The sequence below is a fragment of the Homo sapiens genome, chromosome 9, assembly GCF_000001405.40.
Source record: "Homo sapiens chromosome 9, GRCh38.p14 Primary Assembly".
NCBI lineage: Eukaryota > Metazoa > Chordata > Mammalia > Primates > Hominidae > Homo > Homo sapiens.
This window is the reverse complement of record NC_000009.12, coordinates 105,541,526-105,568,887: the sequence shown is the minus strand read 5'-3', so window position 1 is coordinate 105,568,887 and position 27,362 is coordinate 105,541,526. Positions and strand designations below refer to the sequence as shown.

At 38.1% G+C, this 27,362-nt stretch overlaps 2 protein-coding genes and 1 long non-coding RNA gene across 69 annotated transcripts in view, besides 2 other annotated features; 1 reads left to right on the top strand and 2 right to left on the bottom strand.

Annotated features, from left to right (window-relative positions):
- FKTN (fukutin) overlaps positions 1 to 10,758 on the bottom strand; it is an 82,989-nt gene extending 72,231 nt beyond the window's left edge. For 35 of the 52 annotated variants that reach the window (XM_047422979.1, XM_047422974.1, XM_047422978.1 and 32 more), the window contains exon 1: positions 10,723 to 10,758. The gene's annotated coding sequence lies outside the window, so the exon portion shown is untranslated. Of the gene's footprint in view, positions 1 to 10,476 lie in introns of all 52 variants that reach the window. The other 17 variants (NR_147213.2, NR_147214.2, NM_001351502.2 and 14 more) reach the window with 2 other exon arrangements.
- Positions 10,497 to 10,686: an enhancer, noted in NCBI's record as "active region_28744". NCBI's record gives its function as "activates an Ori minimal core promoter by ATAC-STARR-seq in GM12878 lymphoblastoid cells {active_cell/tissue: GM12878}" and the evidence as "EXISTENCE:reporter gene assay evidence [ECO:0000049][PMID:35858748]".
- On the top strand, positions 10,582 to 14,853 carry FKTN-AS1 (FKTN antisense RNA 1). The gene is made up of 3 exons (NR_184141.1): positions 10,582 to 11,118; positions 11,713 to 11,774; positions 14,545 to 14,853. It is a non-coding gene; the product is annotated as an FKTN antisense RNA 1 (long non-coding RNA).
- Positions 10,847 to 10,896: an enhancer, noted in NCBI's record as "active region_28743". NCBI's record gives its function as "activates an Ori minimal core promoter by ATAC-STARR-seq in GM12878 lymphoblastoid cells {active_cell/tissue: GM12878}" and the evidence as "EXISTENCE:reporter gene assay evidence [ECO:0000049][PMID:35858748]".
- Positions 16,455 to 27,362, bottom strand: part of FSD1L (fibronectin type III and SPRY domain containing 1 like) — a 110,257-nt gene continuing 99,349 nt past the window's right edge. For all 16 annotated transcript variants that reach the window (XM_017015185.2, XM_011519079.3, XM_011519078.3 and 13 more), the window contains one exon: positions 16,455 to 22,530. In XM_017015185.2, coding sequence (XP_016870674.1) covers positions 22,506 to 22,530 — 25 coding nt within the window. In that variant the 3' untranslated portion in view covers positions 16,455 to 22,505. The remainder of the gene's footprint in view (positions 22,531 to 27,362) is intronic.

Here is a 27,362-nt window from a genome sequence, read left to right as displayed (position 1 = left end):
GTTGGTTCCAGGTCTTTGCTATTGTGAATAGTGCCACAATAAACATACATGTGCATGTGTCTTTATAGCAGCATGACTTATAATCCTTTGGGTATATACCCAGTAATGGGATCACTGGGTCAAATGGTATTTCTAGTTCTAGATCCCAGAGGAATCGCCACACTGTCTTCCACAATGGTTGAACCAGTTTACTGTCCCACCAACAGTGTAAAAGTGTTCCTATTTCTCCACATCCTCTCCAGCACCTGTTGTTTCCTGACTTTTTAATGATCGCCATTCTAACTGGTGTGAGATGGTATCTTATCATGGTTTTGATTTGCATTTCTCTGATGGCCAGTGATGATGAGCATTTTTTCATGTGTCTGTTGGCTGCATAAATGTCTTCTTTTGAGAAGTGTCTGTTCATATCCTTTGCCCACTTGTTGATGGGGTTGTTTTTTTCTTGTAAATTTGTTTGAGTTCTTTGTAGATTCTGGGTATTAGCCCTTTGTCAGATGAGTAGATTGCAAAAATTTTCTCCCATTCTGTAGGTTGCCTGTTCACTCTGATGGTAGTTTCTTTTGCTATGCAGAAGCTCTTCAGTTTAATTAGCTCCCTTTTGTCAATTTTGTCTTTTGTTGCCATTGCTTTTGGTGTTTCAGACATGAAGTCCTTGCCCATGCCTATGTCCTGAATGGTATTGCCTTGGTTTTCTTCTAGGGTTTTTATGGTTTTAGGTCTAACATTTAAGTCTTTAATCCATCTTGAATTAATTTTTGTATAAGGTGTAAGGAAGGGATCCAGTTTCAGCTTTCTACATATGGCTAGCCAGTTTTCCCAGCACCATTTGTTAAATAGGGAATCCTTTCCCCATTTCTTGTTTTTATCAGTTTTGTCAAAGATCAGATAGTTGTAGATGTGTGGTATTACTTCTGAGGGCTCCGTTCTGTTCCATTGTTCTATATCTCTGTTTTGGTACCAGTACCATGCTGTTTTGGTTACTGTAGCCTTGTAGTATAGTTTGAAGTCAGGTAGCGTGATGCCTCCAGCTTTGTTCTTTTAGCTTAGGATTGACTTGGCAAGGCGGGCTCTTTTTTGCTTCCATATGAACTCTAAAGTAGTTTTTTCCAATTCTGTGAAGAAAGTCATTGGTAGCTTGATGGGGATGGCACTGAATCTATAAATTACCTTGGGCAGTATGGCCATTTTCAAGATATCGATTCTTCCTATCCATGAGCATAGAATGTTCTTCCATTTGTTTGTGTCCTCTTTTATTTCGTTGAGCAGTGGTTTGTACTTCTCCTTAAAGAGGTCCTTCACATCCCTTGTAAGTTGGATTCCTAGGTATTTTATTCTCTTTGAAGCAATTGTGAATGGGAGTTCACTCATGATTTGGCTCTCTGTTATTTGGTGTATAAGAATGCTTGTGATTTTTGCACATTGATTTTGTATCCTGAGACTTTGCTGAAGTTGCTTATCAGCTTAAGGAGATTTTGGGCTGAGACAATGGGGTTTTCTAGATATACAATCATGTCATCTGCAAACAGGGACAATTTGACTTCCTCTTTTCCTAACTAAATATCTTTTATTTCTTTCTCCTGCCTGATTGCCCTGGCCAGAACCTCCAACACCATGCTGAATAGGAGTGGTGAGAGAGGGCATCCCTGTCTTGTGCCAGTTTTCAAAGGGAATGCTTCCAGTTTTTGCCCATTCAGTATGATATTGGCTGTGGGTTTGTCATAAACGGCTCTTATTATTTTGAGATACGTCCCATCAATACCTAATTTATTGAGACTTTTTAGCATGAAGAGTTGTTGAATTTTGTCAAAGGCCTTTTCTGCATCTATTGAGATAATCTTATGTGGCTTTTGTTGTTGGTTCTGTTTATATGTTGGATTACATTTACTGATTTATGTATGTTGAACCAGCCTTGCATCCTGGGGATGAAGCCCACTTGATCATGGTGGATAAGCTTTTTGATGTGCTTCTGGACTCGGTTTGCCAGTATTTTATTGAGGATTTTTGCATCGATGTTCATCAGGGATATTGATCTAAAATTCTCTTTTTTTGTTATGTCTCTGCCAGGCTTTGGTATCAGGATGATGCTGGCCTCATAAAATGAGTTAGGGAGGATTCCCTCTTTTTCTGTTGATTGGAATAATTTCAGAAGGAATGGTACCAGCTCCTCCTTGTACCTCTGGTAGAATTCGGCTGTGAATCCATCTGGTCCTGGACTTTTTTTGGTTGGTAAGCTATTAATTATTGCCTCAATTTCAGAGCCTGTTATTGGTCTATTCAGAGATTCAACTTCTTCCTGGTTTAGTCTTGGGAGAGTGTGTGTGTCAAGGAATTTATCCATTTCTTCTAGATTTTCTAGTTTATTTGTGTAGAGGTGTTTATTCTCTGATGGTAGTTTGTATTTCGGTGGGATCGGTGGTGATATCCCCTTTATCGTTTTTTATTGCGTCTATTTCATTCTTCTCTCTTTTCTTCTTTATTAGTCTTGCTAGTGGTCTATCAATTTTGTTGACCTTTTCAAAAAACCAGCTCCTGAATTCATTGATTTTTTGAAGGGTTTTTTGTGTCTGTATCTCCTGCAGTTCCGCTCTGATCTTAGTTATTTCTTGCCTTCTGTTAGCTTTTGAATGTGTTTGCTCTTGCTTCTCTAGTTCTTTTAATTGTGATGTTAGGGTGTCAATTTTAGATCTTTCCTGCTTTCTCTTGTGGGCATTTAGTGCTATAAATTTCCCTCTACACATTGCTTTAAACATGTCCCAGAGATTCTGGTATGTTGTGTCTTTGTTCTCCTTGGTTTCAAAGCACATCTTTATTTCTGCCTTCATTTTGTTATGTACCCAGTAGTCATTCAGGAGCAGGTTGTTCAGTTTCCATGTATTTGAGCGGTTTTGAGTGAGTTTCTTAATCCTGAGTTCTAGTTTGATTGCACTGTGGTCTGAGAGACAGTTTGTTATAATTTCTGTTCTTTTGCATTTGCTGAGGAGTGCTTTACTTCCATATATGTGGTCAACTTTGGAGTAAGTGTGGTGTGGTGCTGAGAAGAATGTATATTCTGTTGATTTGGGGTGGAGAGTTCTATAGATGTCTATTAGGTCCACTTGCTGCAGAGTTGAGTTCAATTCCTGGATATCCTTGTTAACTTTCTGTCTCGTTGATCTGTCTAATGTTGACAGTAGGGTGTTAAAGTCTCCCATTATTATTGTATGGGAGTCTAAGTCTCTTTGTAGGTCACACAGGACTTGCTTTATGAATCTGGGTGCTCCTGTATTGGGTGCATATATATTTAAGACAGTTAGCTCTTCTTGTTGAATTGATCCCTTTACCATTATGTAATGGCCTTCTTTGTCTCTTTTGATCTTTGTTGGTTTAAAGTCTGTTTTATCAGAGACTAGGATTGCAACCCCTACCTTTTTTTGTTTTCCATTTGCTTGGTAGATCTTCCTCCATCCCTTTATTTTGAGCCTATGTGTGTCTTTGCATGTGAGATGGGTTTCCTGAATACAGCACACTGGTGGGTCTTGACTCTTTATCCAATTTGCCAGTCTGTGTCTTTTACTTGGGGCATTTAGCCCATTTACATTTAAGGTTAACATTGTTATGTGTGAATTTGATCCTGTCATTATGATGTTAGCTGCTGATTTTCCTCGTTAGTTGATGCAGTTTCTGCCTAGCATCCATGGTCTTTAGAATCTGGCATGTTTTTGCAGAGGCTGGTATCGGCTGTTCCTTTCCATGTTTAGTGCTCCCTTCAGGAGCTCTTTTAGGGCAGGCCTGGTGGTGACAAAATCTCTCAGCATTTGCTTGTCTGTAAAGGATTTTATTTCTCCTTCACTTATGAAGCTTAGTTTGGCTGGATATGAAATTCTGGGTTGAAGATTCTTTTCTTTAAGAATGTTGAATATTGGCCCACACTCTCTTCTGGCTTGTAGAGTTCCTGCCGAGAGATCAGCTGTTAGTCTGATGGGCTTCCCTTTGTGGGTAACCCGACCTTTCTCTCTGGCTGCCCTTAACATTTTTTCCTTCATTTCAACTTTGGTGAATCTGACAATTACGTGTTTTGGAGTTGCTCTTCTCGAGGAGTATCTTTGTGGCATTCTCTGTACTTCCTGAATTTGAATGTTGGCCTGCCTTGCTAGGTTGGGGAAGTTCTCCTGGATAATATCCTGCAAAGTACTTTCCAACTTGGTTCCATTCTCCCTGTCACTTTCAGGTACACCAATCGGACGCAGATTTGGTCTTTTCACATAGTCCCATATTTCTTGGAGGCTTTGTTCATTTCGGTTTATTCTTTTTTCTCTAAACTTCTCTTCTGGCTTCATTTCATTCATTTGATCTTCCATCACTGATACCCTTTCTTCCAGTTGATCAAATCGGCTACTGAAGCTTGTGCATTCTTCATGTAGTTCTCGTGCTATGGTTTTCAGCTCCATCAGGTCCTTTAAGGACTTCTCTGCATTGGTTATTCTAGTTAGCCATTCGTCTAATCTTTTTTCAAGGTTTTTAACTTCTTTGTGTTGGGTTTGAACTTCCTCCTTTAGCTCGGAGAAGTTTGATCGTCTGAAGCCTTCTTCTCTCAACTTGTCGAAGTCATTCTCCATCCAGCTTTGTTCCATTGCTGGTGAGGAGCTGCGTTCCTTTGGAGGAGGAGAGGTGCTCTGATTTTTAGAATTTTCAGTTTTTCTGCTCTGTTTTTTCCCCATCTTTGTGGTTTTATCTACTTTTGGTCTTTGATGATGTTGATGTACAAATGGGTTTTGATGTGGATGTCCTTTCTGTTTGTTAGTTTTCCTTCTAACAGTCAGGACCCTCAGATGCAGGTCTGTTGGAGTTTGCTGGAGGTCCACTCCAGATCCTGTTTGCCTGGGTATCAGCAGAGGCTGCAGAACAGCGAATATTGCTGAACAGCAAATGTTGCTGCCTGATCGTTCCTCTGGAAGTTTCGTCTCAGAGGGGTACCCGGCTGTGTGAGGTGTCAGTCTGCCCCTACTGTGGGGTGCCTCCCAGTTAGGCTACTTGAGGGTCAGGGACCCACTTGAGGAGGCAGTCTGTCCGTTCTCAGATCTCAAGCTCCATGCTGGGAGAACCACTACTCTCTTCCAAGCTGTCAGACAGGAACATTTAAGTCTGCAGAGGTTTCTGCTGCCTTTTGTTTGGCTATGCCCTGCCCCCAGAGGTGAAGTCTACAGAGGCAGGCAGGCCTCCTTGAGCTGTGGTGGGCTCCACCCAGTTCGAGCTTCCCGGCCCCTCTGTTTATCTACTCAAGCCTCAGCAATGGCGGGTGCCCCCCCCCCCAGCCTCGCTGCCACGTTGCAGTTCAATCTCAGACTGCTGTGCTACAAATGAGTGAGGCTCCGTGGGCATAGGACCCTCCGAGCCAGGCGTGGGATATAATCTCCTGGTGTGCTGTTTGCTAAGACTGTCGGAAAAGCACAGTATTAGGGTGGGAGTGACCCGATTTTCCAGGTGCCATTTGTCCCCCCTTCCCTTGGCTAGGAAAGGGAATTCCCTGACCCCTTGCACTTCCCGGGTGAGGTGATGCCTTGCCCTGCTTCGGCTCACGCTCGGTGCGCTGCACCCACTGTCCTGCACCCACTGTCCGATAATCCCCAGTGAGATGAACTCAGTATCTCAGTTAGAAATGCAGAAATCACCCGTCTTCTGCGTCGCTCACGCTGGGAGCTGTAGACTGGAGCTGTTCCTATTCGGCCATCTTGGAACCCCACTGCATATTCTTTCAGCTTCCTTTTTACATTTGCATTTGTCCTTTGAAGGTATTAGTATGAAAGACTTTTGGTAACTGGTTTACCCTGACACCTCCTCCAGCCCCAGACCCCACTCTTTTGAGAATCACCTAGGTAGGGGTCTGTTTGAATGAATGAATGAATGAATGATATATCAAGAGAGATGATCCAGAAGGCAGGAGTGGGGGGAAGTGGAATCAAAAACCTTCCCTGACACCTAACTTAGGTTCATAAGATGATATGTGAGAGCCTAGCCATATCCTTATGCTGTGGGATCCCCGACTTATTTGGGGATATTGGGGAGTAAGAGTGAGGCATAGATAGTATGAATCAGAGAGTGAAACTGCCTTTGCAAAATTATGACAGCTAAGAGAAATCTCATAGTTGATTCCATCTTGTTTCTGACCTCCAATCTGTCCTTGGTCATTTCTGGGTGCAGGCCAAGCTAACTTTGAAAGGAATTTAGTTTACAGTTTAACCTAAAGCAAGGATGATAGTAACCTTTTCCAAAACTAAACTGCCTTTATAAAGGTAATGAAAGACTACAAGATTAGGATTATGAGAGGGACCTGAATTCTGGTAACATGTAGTTAAATGATAACCAGTCTTTTTTCCAGAGGACACAGGATTTATATTTTCCCTGGCTACAGAACCTAAGATTGGTCTTTTGAGATATTTTTCAGACCTTTGCATTCTGGACCAACTGACACTACCTAGAGGTGAACTAGTGACTCATGACCCAACCAGTCACGTGGCTCCCCACCCAGAGGTGGACTCAGCACACAAGGACCATTTTTCACACCCTTATCATCACATCCCCAGCCAACCAGCAGCCCTCATTCCCTAGTCCCCTGCCACCAAACTAAAAACTATCCTTGAAAAACTAACCACCAAGTCTTTGGCGAGACTGATTTGAGTAATAACTCCTTTGCACAGCCAGCATCATTGTTAAGTAAGCTGTTTCTTTACTGCAGTAGCACAGTCTCAGTGAACTGGTTTCGTTTGTGCAGCGCACAGGAAGAATCCTTCAGGCAATTCATTAAAACAGAACTGACATTCAAATATGCTCTGAACAAAATAAAACAGGAGGCTGAACTACAGAGGAAAGAGAGTAGTGTAATTAGGAAAAGGTATAGTTAGAGAGATGATGTAGCAGATTGGCAGGCATAAAGAGAAAATGCGTCTGAAAATGAATTCAGAGGTCAGACCAAAAAAAAAAAAAAATCGACATTTTTCAGCTGTTCTCAAAAGCCAAAAATATCCCAGTAGCAACAGCTACTATCAAATCTTCCCTAAATACTGTTGGTCTTTCTTATTGTCCATTTCTTTTCCTTTGACTGCTAACTTTTCACAACTGTCAGCAGCTTGGAAGTAAACATTAGACTGCAAAGGGTTAAGAAGTTTCTTTACCTGCTTACCATTCATGCACTTAATCCTTTGCAATATAACTTCTACCTACACATGCTGTTACTTGAAGATAAAAAGCTAATGAAATTTAGTTTCTCCAGTAGATGCTCCAGAAAAATCATAAATACATAGTTACTCCTTTCTGAATGACTATGGTGTAAGAGGGTTTTGGAAAGATAGTGGCTGAAATGAAAGATATAGATAAGACAGGTTAGCAGGAAGGAAGGTGAAGACAGCAAGGATTGTCTTTGGGTTGGGAGGAGTGTAGGTGCTTTTATTTTTTTTCCTTATTTATCTTACGTGAACATCAATTGATTTTGTAGTAAGAAAAAAACTAAGTTTTTTTTAAAACTTTAAAAATTCTCCTCTCATCCTAAATGAAATGACAAATATTCATTTACTAGAGCCCACATGTAATTATGTTAATGTCTCCCCATTTTTGAAGTAACACAAGTTTTTATTTTTTTAAGAAATGGAGTCTTGCTCTGTCACCCAGGCTGGAGTGCAGTGTCACAATCATAGCTCACTGCTGCCTCAAACTGCTAGGCACAAGCAATCCTCCCACCTCAGCCTCTTGGGCACCTGGAATGATTATAGGCATGAGACACTGTCCGGCTCCCAAAGTTTGTTTTTTGTTTTGTTTTTTTTTTTGTTTTTTGAGACGGATTCTTGCTCTGTTGCCAGGCTGGAGTGCAGTGGCACAATCTCAGCTCACTGCAACCTCCGCTCCCAGGTTCAAGTGATTCTCCTACCTCAGCCTCCCGAGTAGCTGGGACTACAGGCATGTGCCACCAAGCCTAGCTAATTTTTGTATTTTCAGTAGAGACAGGGTTTCATCAGGCTGGCCAGGATGGTCTTGATCTCTTGACCTCGTGATCCATCCACCTTGGCCTCCCAAAGTGCTGAGATTACAGACGTGAGCCACCGTGCCTGGCCCCCAAATTATTTTTAAGTGGCTCCCTCAAGAATGCAAGTACTTAATTGCTTGGTTCTGGACACTTGGGTATTTATCTTAATAAAATCATACAGCAAATAGAATCAAACACAGGGCTTAGAGTGTGACATGTACTTAGTGCAACACTTAAATTGTGAATGTATGTACATATGTAAAATCTGGATGAATGTTCCCAAAAATATTAATAATGGTTATCTCTGGGTAGGGAGAATTAGGAGTGATTTTTACATGGTTCTTTACACTTTTCTATATTGTTCCAATATTTGTATAAGCATATATTATTTTCATAAGAAGTAAAATTATTTTATCCTAGGAGAAACAGATGATGGGTAGTGGTAGTGGCTTAATAACGGCCATATTTGCTAAACAGGATCTAGATTCTTGTCACTTAAAAGTATGGTCCTAAGAACATCAGTATCACATTGGAGCTTGTTAGTAATACAGAATTTTCAGCCCCCACCTACTGATTCATAATCTACATTTTAATAAAATCCTCAGATGATTCATATGTACATTAAAATTTGAAAAGCACTGATGTAGATGCTAAGGGCTTTACATGCAGGGAGGATAAGAACAATGTCTACCTTGCTCGTCGTTATATCCCTAGAACCAGCAGTGCTTGAAACATATAAATATTTGTTGAATAAATAAATATGTAAATGATACCACTTCTGGGTAGACAATTAGGCAGTGGAGATTATATCTATTTGAATTATTTATTTTCTGCCAGAATTCCCAGAAGTAGGTGCTTATTATTTGCTGTAAATGCTGTTAAATTAGCTTAATAACAACACTGGGCCCCTGAGAATCTACAACTATATGTAACTTTTTTAAAAAGAACTCCTTCCTTGCTCTTAGCTCTGAGATCCACATGCCTCCTTCAATAATTTCTCCAACCTCCTCTCTGTGGGTATGGCCTATAGTTACTCTCTCTACAATCTCTCCCTGAAACCAAATCCATTCTCAAGATTTTAACTACCACCTGTGAGAGAAAACACTATTTAAATTACAGTCCATGCACTCTATCTGCCTATATTTTCAACTCTATTTCCTGCACCTCACCTCAAATTTAACATGTTCAAAATTAACTTTTTTTTTTTTTTGAGACAGAGTTTCGCTCTTGTTGCCCAGGCCGGAGTGCAGTGGCCTGATCTTGGCTCACTGCAACCTCTGCCTCCCAAGTTCAAGCGATTCTCCTGCCTCAGCCTCAGGAGTAGCTGGGATTACAGGCGCCCGCCACCACACCCGGCTAATTTGTTGTATTTTTAGTAGAGATAGGGTTTCACCATGTTGGCCAGGCTGGTTTCGAACTCCTTGGCCTCAGGTGATCCACCCGCCTCAGCCTCCCAAAGTGCTGGGATTACAGGCGTGAGCCACCGCGTCCAGCCCCAAAATTAACAATTTTATTCTCTGTCAACTATCGTCCTCTCCCAGTCCAGAAGAAAGTAACTAGCTCTCCATCCTCACAGTCTCTAGTTTTACAGGCTTTAGAGAAGAGAGATCAGCTGGCCCAACATCACCTTATGGAGAATAGGCTCTAGAAGAATTAAATGACAGCCAAGAGGCTAGTTATTGGCAACCTCAGCACTCTACGATCTAAATCACTTTATTCCCAGTACACTATTGCATGCTGGAATTCAACAGAATTCCCATTTTTGCCAACAGCACTTAAACTTACTTTTTAGAAACGCAGGTTAAAAATATCATCACCCAGATCCAAGAAATCAAGTCCTGCGTATTGTTCTTTCGGCATTTCCCCGGTTCCTTTCTTCTTCCTTGTCAGAACACCCTGCACTTCCTTTCCACTAAGAGTTCTTTCACCGTTCAATGCCAGCCTTCCCAAATCCTCTACCCTCACTAAACTTATGTCCACAAATAGAATCGCTAAAATATAAATGCTTATTCCTGCATTTGATATCTTTGTCCATGGCCCAACAGAGATGGTTTCCAATCGTTCAAACCCTATTTATCCTCAGAGTCTAGCTCAAACACAGCCTTTTCTACTGGGCTTCCATCTGCCCAATTTCTAATATACTGCTCTATCATTCACTTTGTCATTTGTTCACAGCTTGATTTTTACCGACTGGAAACGTGCTATCTTCAAAAGCATAAAGAATCTGATATATCATCTAGGTCCTTTTTTTTTTTTTTCCACATCTGACAAAACTGAAGCCAAGAGAAATGTGGCTTACCTCATGTTAAATGAGAAATTGTAAATTTCAGGCCGGGCGCGGTGGCTCACGGCTGTAATCTCAGCACTTTGAGAGGCCAACGCGGGCGGATAACCTGAGGTCAGGGGTCACTACCCTAACCCGGCTACTACAAGAGTCTCGATCGTCCTCCAACCTTTCATCTGTCCCAGGATTAAGATTTCACCTGATGACACGCCCAGAAGTGCGGGAAGGACTGGCCAAGTGGAAGTCTACCACGCGATGCTCGTGGACTGACTGAGGAGTACCCAGCCCGGAGCGCGCTCAGCCTGTGGCCGGCCTCCTCACCAAGGGGTAGGCAGGTGCCCAGAATGCTGGAGGATGCCCGGTAAGGGCACCCGAGTCGCCAGCGGTACCTGTCTGAAGGCGCCCACCCATCCCCGGGTACCGACCTGAGCCTCCCGTACCTTACCTCACTCAACAGCAGGCTGCAGCCGCTCCGCTTTACGGCACTCACAGCAACCGCCGCAAAAGCCGCCGTCAAGTGCTGAGCGGCGGAGGCTGGCTTGGTTCCTGCTGGGACGTTCCCACGGTCCAGCCCCAGCCTCGGCTTTCCTGTGACTCTTGTCGCATCCTCACCGCCAGAAGTTCACTGAGCCCTGGCGATTCCTCGCTTTTATAATCTAGCCACTTAGCCAAAGCCCTTTTTTATCTCTTGCCTAATTGACAACTACAGCAGCGCACTGAGGCAATCTGAGAGTTTAAGTTCTGAAACGCTTTCGACAGCGGAAGATGAACTGGAGGCAGCAGCTGAGCCGTTTTCCAAGCCCGTTAAATGTGAACTTCTGATAAACGAGTGGTTTTTTTAGTGCGTGTGCTTTGCTAGAGGGATTCAGCATAACTCCCTGAAGTTTGGTTTGGATACAATTAGTAGAGCTAGGGGATAGAGTGGAAAATAGCAGCTGCGTTCACTATTCCTCATGAAGTTGAGGTGCCTTTATGACATTCAAGATTTAGCGACCTGTTGCCCTCCAGTTTAAGGCTGGATACAATTTTGTACCTGATTAACTTTTTTCTTTTCTTTTTTTGTAGAGACGTTGGGGGCTAGCAGGGCGGGGTGTGGCGGGGGTGGGGGGGAGGGCGTCCTCACCATCTTGCCCAGGCTGGTCTCGAACTCTTGGCCTCAAGCGATCCTCTCACTTTGGTTCTTTTAACGGTGTAATCCAAAAGGTGGTTGTTAAGGCTCAGATATTAATCTTCTTATAAATTTTTGAAAACCATAATTCACTAAACCAGTTACTGTAATTATAATTTATTTCTACAAAACGGAAAATACTCCCATCATATATTTGTTTTCTAAGCTTTGTTTTTAATTCTATCAGTACAGAAAGAAAAGGAAGAAAAAATCTTCCTCACTTCCTACAGGTTATGACATTTACCAACTTTTTGTTTTTCCTTCCAGAAATTTCCTATGCACATACAAGCTTACTGTTGAAGTCCTCTCATCCAATGCACTCAGAACGGGTAGGTACTCAGTAGGTTAATAAAAAAAAGTGGAAGGTTACACCAAGAGGAAGTAAGTTATCAAAGCTTAATGGCATCATTAACACAGGTGCTAACGTGATGGGACATGGGAAAACTTGAGCATCACATACTTGCTATTGATTGAAACACATCAAATATAAAAATTCTTGAGTTTATAATGACTCCTTAAAAAATAAAATTCAGTCGTGATTGAAGATTGCCAAGTTGAAGATTAAATATTCTAAAACTTGATAAGGGAAAACATCAAGCATTTATCCTGCCTTTCTTGTATGAATTGAATTTTAGTGTAACCAAAGTACTTATAAGAGTTCCAGCTAATAAATGGAGGATGATAAAACAATCACGATTTTGTAACTCCTAATAAAATAATCGAAAGGGCAACATCAATAGATGATAAAATTAAGGTGAAAGGTTGATGGGGAACTTTATAATAGACTGGCATCACCTAAACCCACTGATCTTAATCTCACTAAATTTGGGACAAGCATATATTATGTACTTCCTGATGTGATAGAAAGTACACAGCCACACCTGTGAAGGATTCTTGCCTAAAAATTGAACCTGCATTTACTCAAACTCTAGATCTAATACAGGATATAGAGAAGCAACTAAATTCAGAAAACGGGACATTCTACCAGACAAATTCCTCAGTTTTTTTCATAAATGGCATTTAAAAGCAGAGGGAACTATTGTAAAATCAAATATTTAAGAGATGTAACGGAGTACAATGTGTGGACCCTGTCTAGATCTTGATTTGAACAAGATAACTGTAAAAAGATACTTCTGAGACAACTGAAATTTTAGTATGGACTGATCCATTAGATAATAGTACAGAATTACTGTTAATTTTGCTAAGAATGTTAACAGAATGTGGCTGTTTTTAAAAGCCATCATGGATGCATATAGCATACTTACAGGTGACATTTTAAAACAAAATAGATAGCACAAACATGGCAAAATGTTAACAATTGATTAGGTGATGAGCACAAAGCACTGGCTTTCTACTTTTCTGTATATTTGGAAATTATAATTAAAAGTAACAGGAAAAGGGAAAAATTATCAGGTTCTTAGAAATAAATACTTTCCAAGTGTATAACAAATCTAGTTCTGAATAAACCTTCTCAAAAAGGCAGTTTCAGTAGAGGGTTACAATGGCCAATCTTCTGTTTTGAACTAAGTTCATTTTAAGCATGGACCAGCTGATTAGAGTATCTCACTGTTTTTCTTACAAAACCATAGACATAATGCATCATCCATCATTTGTAGTTTCTGTTTCTGTAAAATGGACCAGGAACTTAAAGATACAAGTGAAGGAATATAAATTTGGAGTCCTGGAATTTATTTTTAAAAATCTTCCCCTATCACTCACAATTACTTTGGCCACAACTAACTTTGCAACTTTTTAAACTCTTCATCTCTAATGGTTCTCGTACTTTTCTTATAAGTACCTTTTCATACTCATTTCATATTTATTTTGGTTTATATATTTATATAATTGGTTTACATACTTACATGACTACAACAGTGACTACCACCTACATAAGCAGGTTTGGGAACAAACATAACTGAAGGTAAATATACAACTAAACTGGTGGCAGTGTTACTTATCAAGCATACTGAAAGGTCAAATGTGAGCCCTCAGCTCATGGCAAACGTCAAGTCAGTATGCTTTAATCTGGATAGCAAATACAGCTGAAAGAGTGGGTACAAGGATGCATAAAAACAGCCTCTCTTACAAGTAAATATTCATGTTCTATAAACCACTCAGCTGTGCACACATGTAAGGATCCTGGCCGACTCCTAACATTTGTAGGGTCTGGGCCAAGAATACAAATGAAAGCCAACCCTGACATATTTTCAGTGTCTAAATAGCTGAGCGTTAACCAACAAATAAAATGTTATACTCTTCTACTTTAACATGTATTCTCAAGGAACAGAAATCTAGGTTCAAATATGCGATTCGCAGATTCTTCAGAAGTGTACTAGAAAGTGATACTAGGTTGGCCTGCCCTTCCCTGATCCCCTGGGTCTCTTTTTACTTCTAGCTTAAGCCTGCCACAGGGGCCTATCATGCATGCATGTGGACAACTCAGTCTGCACATCCAAGCTTCATCTGTACTTCCCACAAACTGCCAGCCATAGGGGTATATACATCTGTAGTAGTCTTTTTTCAGGATGGATTTGGACAAAAGGCCTGCACATATCCTGGAAGCAAGCTTCAGGCTGATGAGGCAAGGAATCCTGGGGTTCTGGCTGATAACATAGTATAGAATTCTGTGGGTAAAGGAACATGGATTCCAAGTAGGCATAGTCCCTTGGCTCCTCAATTTTTCATCCCATGAAGAGAGGCACAGCAAGAGTGTGGGGATCCGGTTAGTTAGCTTACCTTAGGTAGGTAACAAGAGAAGGGTCCTGGAGAGCCCCTGGCTCATGAGTCAGTGCCTTATCCCCAGATAATATAAAAAGCAGCCTGGGAAAAAAGCTGCAGGCACCAATAAGGGAACTAGCACAGGGTGTTGTGCCTGGAGACATGCCCATGACTGCACAGATGGAAAAACCTACGGCCCATTTGGATAAAAACTTGCACAAACCTCCAGCTCACTCAGATAAGGGAACAAGGCCTGGCATAGAAATGCCTTGGTCCTTTGTATTGTCAGCAGGTTCCCAGGAAAAGTTTATTCCCCTTTTGTAGGCATGGGCACAGTGGGCTCTGGTAAGTTCCTATGGGCGCTCTACTTTCCTTTGTTAGGACTGTAAGTCCAGCTGCTGTGTATCATCACCTCAGCCCGATTGGTCCTCGGCCACACTTCACTTCAGCTTCTGATAGGTCCTGGGCCAAGCTAAGCAGCATCTATGAATCATTTCACCTCCTGACTGGTCCCGGGCCAAGCCGAGTCACGCATTCGCCAAGACAGCCCCCAGACTAAGCACATTCCTTCCCCTTCCGTCCATAAAAACCTGGACCCCAGCCTCATGATGGGCACTCCCGTTCGGGACCCCCTCTCTGCTGGCAGAGAGCTTTCTTCTTTCACCTTATTAAACTTTCACTCTAACCTCACCTTTGTGTCCGTGCTCCATAATCGTCTTGGAGGTGGGACAAGAACTCCAGGTGTTATCTCAGACAACGAAAGACTGTTTCAATAATGTAGTATATAAGTGGACAAGAACTCCAGGTGTTATCTCAGACAACGAAAGACTGTTTCAATAATATAGTATATAAGTGGGTAATGAAACATGCATTCCAAGTAGGCATAATCCCTTGGCTCCTCAATTTTTCATCCCATGAAGAGAAGCACAGCAAGACTGTGTGGTGATCAGGTCAGGGTCCCCTCTTACCCAAGTATACATGCATGCACACACCCGTTGTATCGTACTGTATATATTGCTGGATGACTTTTTTGTTTAATATCATGAATACACTTCCATTAACAGCATATCCTTTAACAGCTGTGTAGGATCACATGGAAATACCAAAATCTAACCATCTGCTCTTGTGCTGACCTTGTGCAAAAATAAATAAATACAAATACACCATGCAGTGTAAGTGTAAAATGGGGTTTAGTAGAAAAGTAGAGTGCACATAATATCCTGAGCTCTTATGCCACAGAACTCCCAGCCAGGCACAAATGAACTGGTATACCAAGGAAAAGGCTCTAATTAAGCCAATTGTCATAATGGTCTATATAACATTTATTGGGGAGGGGAATGTGCAGAATATATAATATCTAGACCACTACTTATATGGTAGTTTGCTGGTGCAGCAAGTTAGAAAAGGGGAGCCTTCAAAATTCTGTTATCACATTCTTTTGTTGAGGCAACTTGGGCCTTTTGAACCAGTTCTGTGCCTTGCTACCAAAAAAGGAAAAGGAATTTACCTCCAAGTCCATCCAAATTTGTAGGTCTTCAATTAATAATTAGGTTGCTACTATTAGCTATGGTAATGCTGCAAGGAACATTGGCTTTTTTGTGAGTATATATGTAAGAGAAATACTTATAAAGGAAATTAAGGAGCATGTGCATTTAAAAATCTTAATATTGCTAAAATTGTTCTCCAGAAATGCTGCACCCATTCACTCTCCATCTTCTATAGTGGTTTATCAATCTTTGTCCATTCTTCTTCCTGTGACTCAAGACTATCCAGTCTCCTTTCATTCTTCTTACATAACTTCTTAGTTACAGGCGCTCCAGTCTCACTGATTTTTTTTCTTTTAAACTGTTTTCAAGTTAGAGCAAGAATTTTAAAAATGTTTAGGTTCTGATTCTGACTCTTAGTTACCATCTACCAAAATGTAACCCAACATGTAGCAAGATCCAAAGAAACCAAATTCATAAGTAATATTATAGTTACTAACATAGCATGTTTCATTTTCCATCTGTAGGTACACTGTTCAAAACAGTGGCTATTAGCAATATGCAACTCTATGTAGCCACATATAAAGTGCTCAGTAGCTGCCTATGGCCAGTCACTACTGTATTGGACTGCACAAATAACTTTTCATAATTGCATAAAATTCTGTTGAACAGTAGTGCTCTAAAATGTTAAGCTTTTTAGGCAAAGGAACTATGACTTTTTTTATATTCTCATCCCCAACAGCATATTGTATTTATACTTAAATAAAAGTTAATAAAATCAAACAATGAAGCAAAAGAGAGCAGGAAAAGAGTTTTTAAATTTTTAATGAGATATTCCAGGTGCTTCTGTAAAATCTTAACTGGGACATTCTATATAGAACACAAAATCATTTCAAAATACACGTTACTCCACTTTGAATACCCTATTTTAAAGTGAAAAAAAAACATTTTAAAAAGGCTTTGTCTTGTTTCTAAGGAAAATGAGGCCATGTGCTTCTTAAAACACTATTGTATGGCACTGAGTGCATCATAAGTATCATTAAAGGTCTTCAGCCATAACTTAAAAGGCCAAACCTGAGGAATTAGAATTTTTATTATCACAACTGCATAGCAAAATCATGTCCAGATAATAGACATACTAAATCTGTAGATTCAGATAACCTGTAAACCATTTAATCCAATTTAAAGCAAAACAAATATGTCAGGAGAGATACCAAGAGATAACCAGGTTAACAAGATTTTGAAATGCTTCATCTTTTTTTAAAAATGATAATGCAACAAAGTTGTCAAATGTTCAGTGGTTACATTTTATATCATTTATCCGTGACAACAAGCTGCCCAGCCATTTGGTTGTTTGGAAAGAACTGTTTAGACCAAATACACTCTTTGCATGTGGCACTGGGCAGCCCTAACTTCAAAGTGCAAATGCCTGCATGGAAATGTAGCTTAATTCATTTATTTATGCCACTATTCTACACTGACACAACAATGCTGTGCAAGAGCTTTTACAGCTCTAGAGTAATAGGCTTGAGAAAATACAAAAAGGCCACAAGTCATGCACAAATTAAATGAATATTAAAGAACATTTTAATTGGGGTTTTATTTTTTTAAAATCATGTTAGAAATCACTGGTGATACCACTTTAAGCACACGCTTTATCAAAGTAAATGCATCTACAATTATCCAAACACTTAAATCCATTATTAGCTAAAAACAACACTTTACATTTACGTAGCACTTTGCTGTTGCTGAAGCAATTTCACATACTCCATTTCATTTTATTTCCTCACAACAGCCCTGTGAGGCAGGCTGAACAACTTACACTTATTTTATAAAGAAGGCAATAGAGACCCAAAGATGATAAACAATTTGTGTAGCGGTCACAGATCTAGTATATGGTAGAGCTAAGGTGATTAATTTTAAATACTTCAAAAAAGAAGCCAAAATCCTTTTTATGTCATATCCAGGGATTTTTAAGACTTGCGGCTTTTAATATAAATTATTCCAAAACTTTAGCTATTATCTGTCTTATAGTATGAATTAGTTATAAAGTTGATTTTAAAGAGTCTCCCTTAATAGGTAAATTAGACTCAGTGCTTTGGTACCTTAGATATATAGGAAATGTTAAAAAATATATATATGCATTCTCATAGCCCTTATGTTCTCCAGAAAGTTCCAATACTAACAAAAATGTGTTTTACCACTTACTATTTGACTTATTTTAACCGTAGTCAAAACTTAATAAGCTCCAAGCCAAAGCAAACACATTCACGTGCCTTCTGCTCTACATACTGTGAAATCCTCTTCATGTCCATTCCCATGGACCAGCTTACATTGAATGGGTACCACTAAGAAAAGATACCAGTTTAAACTCACATAGCTTAAGTGATTATGCATCAGAAGTCAGTACCTTATATTGACCCAGAAATAAGAAATATTCTTTTATTTAATAATTGAGTCATCTGAAGAGAAAAGTGTACTCTGGTAAATTCTGGTATTTATTTATAAGTCAATGCTAACTCTGATGTGGCATATCCAACAATATCTTTTCAATGAAGACAATATACACCAAATGTAATCCATTTAAACTCCAACTAATTCAAAATGCTTAAACTGTTTAGGTTAATCAAATACTCCAGGTAACAAAGCTATTATATGTGACATATCAGGATCACAAATAATTTCAGAACATGCATACTGTAAGATACACACAAAACTAAACTATACTGAACGTGAGGTAATCTTGCCATGATAATTAAGGAAACATTCATGATCTCTTATAATACTCCAGTGCCAACATTATGAAATGTATATTTTGGTTAAAAATAACAACTTTGTGGTTATCTGTATACTGAGTAAATATATGTTGACCATACACTTCCCTAAAAGAATGTATCTAGAGTAACTACATAATCAAAGAAGAAACTTTTTCAGGCCCATTACATGTGACTATATAAAAGTGAACCATTTTATATGCAGTTAATTTGATTTTTTTTTAGCAAACTATAACACATTTTAAACTTCTGACTTATTAGCAAAACAATTTTAAGAGGCAAACTCTGTCACACTACTCAAAAGCTGCAAAACTCTATGCACAGTCCATCAAACTTCACTGGTTTTGGTTAATGTACATACAAAGTAATCACATTTTTACTGCCATATCACAAACACTCAAATATTTGCTGTATGGATTAGCCAATGAATGGAGACTCATCTTTTAAAAACAAATTACGTTTTTAAAAAAATAATTATTTTAAAATATAATCAATTTCTTAAGCCTGGAATCACATATTTTACAGTAAGAAGTCTACACTTCCCTCTTTAAATAAATATTCTTTGAAATAATCATTTTCCATATACTTTTCCAATTGTTTCCATAAGAAACAATAAAATTACATAAACAATTATAATTTTATGGACAAAGTATATAGATAAAAATCATTCTACATAAGTTATGAAATAGCATATCTTAGCCTAATTAAAAGATTCCATTACATTTACTTTTATCATTTATACTGCCAAGGATCAGTCACAAAAAATTCAAATTATACATATTATTCATGCTTTAATTTCATAAATAAGTAAATTAAAGCAAGCCAATATGTCTCTCTTCATAACATAGGGAAAAATTACTGTTTGCATAACAGAGTAAATAGGCAAAGTCTAGCCATACAGCAGCAGTTCACGATTTGTCAAGATGATACAGATACCATCAATGAAACCCATGTATAGACAGGCATGTCCTTAATACTTTCAGTTAGTTTACGTACACCTGGAACATTCAAAGAATTGCTGTATATTAAATTTCTGTGTGCATTAGTTATTAATGCTTGGTATCTACATATTTACCAAAATTTAAAGACATAATGACATGGTCAGCCATGAGAGTCAAAATGAATTGTAAAAAAATTCTTTTTCTAAAGTGCTTAAGGCAGCTCCTTCATTTCGATATCCAGCTTAATAAAACTCGTTGGGAATTCAGTTGCTAAAAGAGAATGCCATACTAAATGCATGTTTTTAGAAAACAACTGTTTTATACCTGTGACATATCCATTATAGTCAACCTCTCAAGCATTTCTTTTATAGAAAGCAATCATGTTTGACCTGTAGAAACAAAAACTAAATAAGCAACAAAAGATGTTTCAAAGGATTTAATACTTTTTACAATGTATTAAATTGTAATCAAGAGCTCAATATTTTTAAATTCAAATGTAATTGAGAATATTATATAGTATAATCAAGTTAATAGTTACCTTATTTTGAGACTAAATAGGCACTATATTTGATTAGTTTTCAGTTTGAAAATGAGGATGACAAACTTTCTCCAGTTTAACTTAACAACAAATAAACTAAAAACGTCTTAAACAAAAAACCACATCTTGTTCTTTAATTTTAGAGACCTTTAAGAACGCCAGTAAGAAGAAATCCTCAGACTCTTATTTTGAAGTAATAATTGAAAATTTAGTATCAAATAATACATGTGATGAGAATTTGGACTGGATTTACTGAACTTACACTATTATTACAAAACCTCTCAGAGATGAAACCTCTCCAGTGGAGAGGTTTTCCAAATGAATATTAGAAAATTTTATGTGAAGAGTTTCAAATGACAACATGAACACAAGAATCATGTATACTCCTCCAGCCCCTGATTAATATATGCATTTCCCCATGCCCCTGCAACAGAGGGCCCTCACCACTACAACAATGCTCTGTAGCTTAAACATCAGTTGACACTGCATGGGGCATGGACCAAGAGTATGCTTAGAGGAAAAAGGCACTGAATTAATGAGAAGAAAGAATTATATAAGACACACTAGTAAAAAATTTTATACAACAGCATCTGACCTTTTCTGTGTCATATTTGTTAAAATTCACTTAAAGCAACTCAACTACTAAAAATTTCTGCTTTCAGGTTTGAGTCTATGAAAGGAATTATAAATTCCCATTCATTTAGATCCTGGAATAGGCCCTCTATAGGGAACAGAACATCTGAAAATTTCTTTCAAACTCTCTCTGAGGAACAAAAACCAAAATTATATTTCTTTGGAGAATCAAAAGAGTATCTATTGGTTTACTTCATTCTCTAAACTGCCTTGCAGTCTTTAAAATTACCAACATGTCATCAGATAATAGTGCAGATATGAATGTCCTCTAGAAAAACAATATTCCAATTCAAATAAAATTCCTCATTTACATTTGTTTTATCAAGGAAACAAAACATCCTATCAGTGGGCAGTAAATTTTTAGAGAGAATGAGCTACTATTAATACTATTATACAAGTCTCTATGTAGAAAGCAACGCAAATGTAGGCAGTAATGGTCACTCCTTGGAAGAAGGTTGGTTATCATAGCACAATATATTTTAAATGAGAATGAAAAAAAGTCAACAAATGTAAAGTTTCAAAAATGAAGAAAAATACAAATTCAGACCTCTTAAAAATGCCCAAAGAATTATTAAATACTGTAATTTTAATTTAGTTTAGCTCAAAGGATGTGAGTTACAAATTATAATTGACTTTTTAAGAACAGTTATGTTCCACATAACCATGGGTTTTACCCCAAGTTTGGGAAAGATATCTATGTCAATTTTTGTAATAATTAACATTTCTTTGAAAAGAAAGTGAATGTAGCAAAAGGACTGAGAGAAAACAAACCTCTGAATGAATGGCTGCTTGAAAAAGTCATGTGCCAATTAAGTCAAAGATACGCAGATTTTTTTCAAAACAATTGCTTAAAGCATTCCATATGTTATGAAAAAGAATATATACATTATTTGAGTATTTAGGTACCTCCCTTTATAACCTATCCTTCTTAGATAAAAATTGAGTGATATACATTTTTCAATCCTCTATGTAACTTTAATAAACTTTGATTCCTATAAGAGATGCTAAAAATCAGCATAATTATTATCAGTGTCACATTCAAGTGGGAATTTTACCAAACACAACTATTAAAGGTAGGATTAAACTAGACAACAAAATCAAAAAATATAAGGCTTTCAAAAATCTTACCCATCACCTAAAGTGATGGAATGAAAAGAACTGTAGTTAAACAAGGCAACATATAAAGAATACCCCCCTTGCCATTGTTAGTGCAGTAGGTAAAGAACTGAAATTTGGGTGATTTTAAGCTGTTGTGTCTAGAAATTTCTTATCACAATATTTTGGAAAAAAGAAAATTATATACAATCTAGTCAATAAACAAAAGAGGAAAATTTTGTAAAACTTATTTATAAAAGAGGAAAAATAAACCATTTGAAAACCTTTTTACCATTCCCAACATATGATTTCAATTTTTAGAAAACCTTGGATGACTATGTATTTTTAAAGCTTCTGTGTTAGAACTAAATAATAGATAGTAATGAGATTTTAAAAAGACAAAGTACAGAAGAAAGAAGGCAAGATTTAAAAGCTTTTCTCCCCAGGCCTTAGGGTTACCATATGTAATTAAACATTAGAATAGTCAAAGTAATCCAAGAAATACAAAAATGAGTTTTTATGTTAATTAAACACTGCCTTTTCCCCCATTTACTCTTCAATCATCAGTTTTTTGCTTGGTATCTGCTTGCTTCTATGATACTGCACAGTAGGTTCCTGCAAATGCTTCGTACTAGGTGTTTAATGATAAAAGATTCCAGGCCTCAAAGCAGAACACAGCAAACCTGATTTTCACTACTACCAAATTCCTGTGATTAGTAACTGCACAGAAAAGGCCACCTAATCAAGACGGAGGGTAAACGTATTCTGAGTAGACACTATTGAGTAACAACATTGTTCAGGCTGCTAGCTGAACCAGTCATTCCATTTTCACTTTTCTGAAGTGTTCTCACAGCACTTGGAACCTGCATCCCAGTACTCAAAGAAAGTCCACCACACCATACCTAAGAAAAGACAAAAAAACCTGTCAGATTGCAAATCAAACTAGAATTTCAGTGATTTTTAAATTTCCATTTCAAAGGCAAAATGCCACACATATGAACATCAATCATTCTCAAACACATTAACTGTCATATTTCAGCTGAGGGGAAATGGAAAGACTAAATCAGAATTATTTTAGAACCACAGAGGCCAGAGGAGGTCTTGGTGGTAGCAGAACCAACTGAAGCTGCACCCAAGAGAAGGAACTCAGGGGTGCAGAAATTGAGAAACTTCATTGGCTTAATCTAGGCAAAAGGTATTACCTATCATTACTGATGCTAATTTTCACAACCAAGGGAAGCATACAAAGCACCAACTTACTTCCCACTTATGCTTTTGGTTTTGATAATGAGATATGGCCTGAGACTATAAAAATCTAACACCCCTCAGTTAACAGTAAAATCCACTGTTTTCTTCCTTACCGTGTTAACTATAAGAACTCTTATATAATTATTTAAGAAGGACTCCTGACAAAAATGCAAATCCCAATATCCAGATGTACTTCCCATGTTCTATTACTTATCATAAATGTGAATGACTTTGTGAAAGATAAAACTGCTTTGCTTAGGCTGGTTCAACATACGCAAACCAATAAACGTAATCCAGCATATAAACAGAACCAAAGACAAAAACCACATGATTATCTCAATAGATGCAGAAAAGGCCTTTACCAAAATTCGACAGCCCTTCATGCTAAAAACTCTCAATAAATTAGGTATTGACGGTACATATCTCAAAATAATAAGAGCTATTTATGACAAACCCACAGCCAATATCATACTGAATGGGCAAAAACTGGAAGCATTCACTTTGAAAACTGGCACAAGACAGGGATGCCCTCTCTCACCACTCCTATTCAACATAGTGTTGGAAGTTCTGGCCAGAGCAATCAGGCAGGAGAAAGAAATAAAGGGTATTCAGTTAGGAAAAGAGGAAGTCAAATTGTCCCTGTTTGCAGATGACATGATTGTATATCTAGAAAACCCCATTGTCTCAGCCCAAAATCTCCTTAAGCTGATAAGCAACTTCAGCAAAGTCTCAGGATACAAAATCAATGTGCAAAAATCACAAGCATTCCTATACACCAATAACAAACAGAGAGCCAAATCATGAGTGAACTCCCATTCACAATTGCTTCAAAGAGAATAAAATACCTAGGAATCCAACTTACACGGGATGTGAAAGACCTCTTCAAGGAGAACTACAAACCACTGCTCAATGAAATAAAAGAGGACACAAACAAATGGAAGAACATTCCATGCTCATGGATAGGAAGAATCAATATCGTGAAAATGGTCATACTGCCCAAGGTAATTTATAGATTTAATGCCATCCCCATCAAGCTACCACTGACTTTCTTCACAGAATGGGAAAAAACTACTTTAAAGTTAATATGGAACCAAAAAAGAGCCCACATTGCCAAGACAATCCTAAGGAAAAAGAACAAAGCTGGAGGCATCACGCTACCTGACTTCAAACTATACTACAAGGCTACAGGAACCAAAACAGCATGGTACTGGTACCAAAACAGAGATATAGACCAATGGAACAGAACAGAGCCCTCAGAAATAATACCACACATCAACAACCATCTGATCTTTGACAAACCTGACAAAAACAAGAAATGGGGAAAGGATTCCCTATTTAACAAATGGTGCTGGGAAAACTGGCTAGCCATATGTAGAAAGCTGAAACTGGATCCCTTCCTTACACCTTATACAAAAATTAATTCAAGATGGATTAAAGACTTAAATGTTAGACCTAAAACCATAAAAACCCTAGAAGAAAACCAAGGCAATACCATTCAGGACATAGGCATGGGCAAGGACTTCATGTCTGAAACACCAAAAGCAATGGCAACAAAAGACAAAATTGACAAATGGGAGCTAATTAAACTGAAGAGCTTCTGCATAGCAAAAGAAACTACCATCAGAGTGAACAGGCAACCTACAGAATGGGAGAAAAATTTTGCAATCTACTCATCTGACAAAGGGCTAATATCCAGAATCTACAAAGAACTCAAACAAATTTACAAGAAAAAAACAACCCCATCAAAAAGTGGGCAAAGGATATGGACAGACACTTCTCAAAAGACATTTATGCAGCCAACAGACACATGAAAAAATGCTCATCATCACTGGCCATCAGAGAAATGTAAATCAAAACTACAATGAGATACCATCTCACACCAGTTAGAATGGCGATCATTAAAAAGTCAGGAAACAACAGGTGCTGGAGAGGATGTGGAGAAACAGGAACACTTTTACACTGTTGGTGGGAGAGTAAACTGGTTCAACCATTGTGGAAGACAGTGTGGCGATTCCTCAGGGATCTAGAACTAGAAATACCATTTGACCCAGCCATCCCATTACTGGGTGTATACCCAAAGGATTATAAGTCATGCTGCTATAAAGACACATGCACATGTATGTTTATTGCGGCACTATTCACAATAGCAAAGACTTGGAACCAACCCAAATGTCCATCAATGATAGACTGGATTAAGAAAATGTGGCACATATACACCAGGGAATACTATGCAGCCATAAAAAAGGATGAGTTCATGTCCTTTGTAGGGACATGGATGAAGCTGGAAACCATCATTCTCAGCAAACTATCGCAGGGACAAAAACCAAACACCACATGTTCTCACTCATAGGTGGGAACTGAACAATGAAAACACATGGACACAGGAAGGGGAACATCACACACCGGGGCCTGTTGTGGGGTTGGGGGAGGGGAGAGGGATAGCATTAGGAGATATACCTAAGGTAAATGACGAGTTAATGGGTGCAGCACACCAACATGGCACATGTATACATATATAACAAACCTGCACGTTGTGCACATGTACCCTAGAACTTAAAGTATAATAAAAATAAAAACAAAAAATAAAATAAAATTAAAACTGCTTGTGAACAGAGCAGCTATAATTCAATAAAGTGAGACATAAGATTTGGGACACAGTCAAAAGAATTAAAATATGAAAATACAGATCATTGACACTATCATCAACTACCGTATATATTAATAGTAGACACAAGCTTAAAGCAAGGGAAATTCTAGAAGTTGTTTAAGTATCATCACCTTCAATTATACCCTTAAGTGTTCAATATCTACTAAGTAACTAGATTATTATACCAAAGAATCTACTGAACTGTGAAATTTGTAATTATATAATTAACATTATAAATTTTCAAAACTAACAGGCTCAGTAATGATAACTCCCAAAATACAAAAGCAACTTTCTGATTATAAAACTACTATATTATTTTTTGGAAATTATTTAAATGATTTAGAAAAATATTTACTCAAAATATCTAACATGAAGATGCAAAGGGAAATCAAGAAGAAAACATAAAACCTTTGTGACCTTGAGTTAAGCAAAGCATTACCCATAATAGGGAAAAAAATTACCAAATTGGACTTCATAACAAAATGAAAAACTTCTCTCTGAAATGTTCAGAAAATGAAAATGCAAACCATAACCAGGAGAAAATATTTGCAAAGCATATATCTGACAAAGGATTCACATCCAAACTTATAAAGAACTCTTAAAAACAGGAAAACCAGGCAGTGGCTCATGCCTGTAATCCCAGGATTTTGGGGGGCCAAGGCTGGTGGATCATTTGAGCCCAGGACTTTGAGACCAGCCTGGGCAATATAGCAAAACTCCATCTGTACAAGAAACATTTTTTAAATAGCCGGGTATGGTGGTGGGCACCTGTAATCCCAGCTACTCGGGAGGCTAAGGTGGGAGGATCACTTGAGCCCAGGCAGTTGTGACTGCAGTGAGCTGTGATCGCACCACTGTACTCTAGCCTGGGTGACAGAGCGAGACCCTGTCTTAAAAATAAAGTAAAATAAAAAAATAAGAAAACAATTAAGTCCTAAAAAGTAAGCAAATAATTTTAACAGATACTTGAAATAAATTATATGAATGGCAAATAAGGACATGAAACATCATTTGTCATTAGGAAACTACAAATAAAAACACAATGACATACCACTACACACCTATTAAAATGGCTTAACAACAACAAAAAATCTGGTAATATCAAATAATGGCAAGGATATGACCAACTCTCATATCACTGATAGGAAGGCAAAAAATGGTACAGCCACTTTGGAAAACATTTTGGTAGTTCCCCATGAAGTTAAACATACACTTTCAATGTGATACAGCTACTCTATTACTGCTCTTAGGTATTTACCCAAGGGAAAATCCCATATGTAAATGCTTATAGTGATTTTATTCATAACTGCCCCAAACTGGGAAAAACCCAAGTGTCTTTCAACTGGTGAATGAATGAATAAACTGTGATACATACATATATGAAACACTACTCAGCAATGAAAAAAAGGAGAATACTGACACCACAACAACATGGATGAATTTCAAATGCAGCATGGTACGGAATCGAAAGGCTACATACCATACAATTCTATTTATACGATGTTCTGGAAAAGGTACAACTATAGGGCCTACGAACTGGTTACTGATAGCTAGGGCTGGTTGTGTGGAACGGTCCACTATAAAAGAACACAAAGGAATTTTCTAGGGTGATGGAAATGTTCTATATCTTGATTATGGTGGTGGTTATACAACTGCAGGCATTTGCTAAAAACCACAGAACTGCACCATACTATAAATTCAATAAAACTGACTTAAAAATTAATCTTGTACACAAAACATTTAATAGGCATTAACGTACTTAATAAAAGCAAGCCTTCAATGAAGGAAAAAAAATTTTAACAAGCTTAAAATAATTTCTTGCAGTATCTTATGACATAT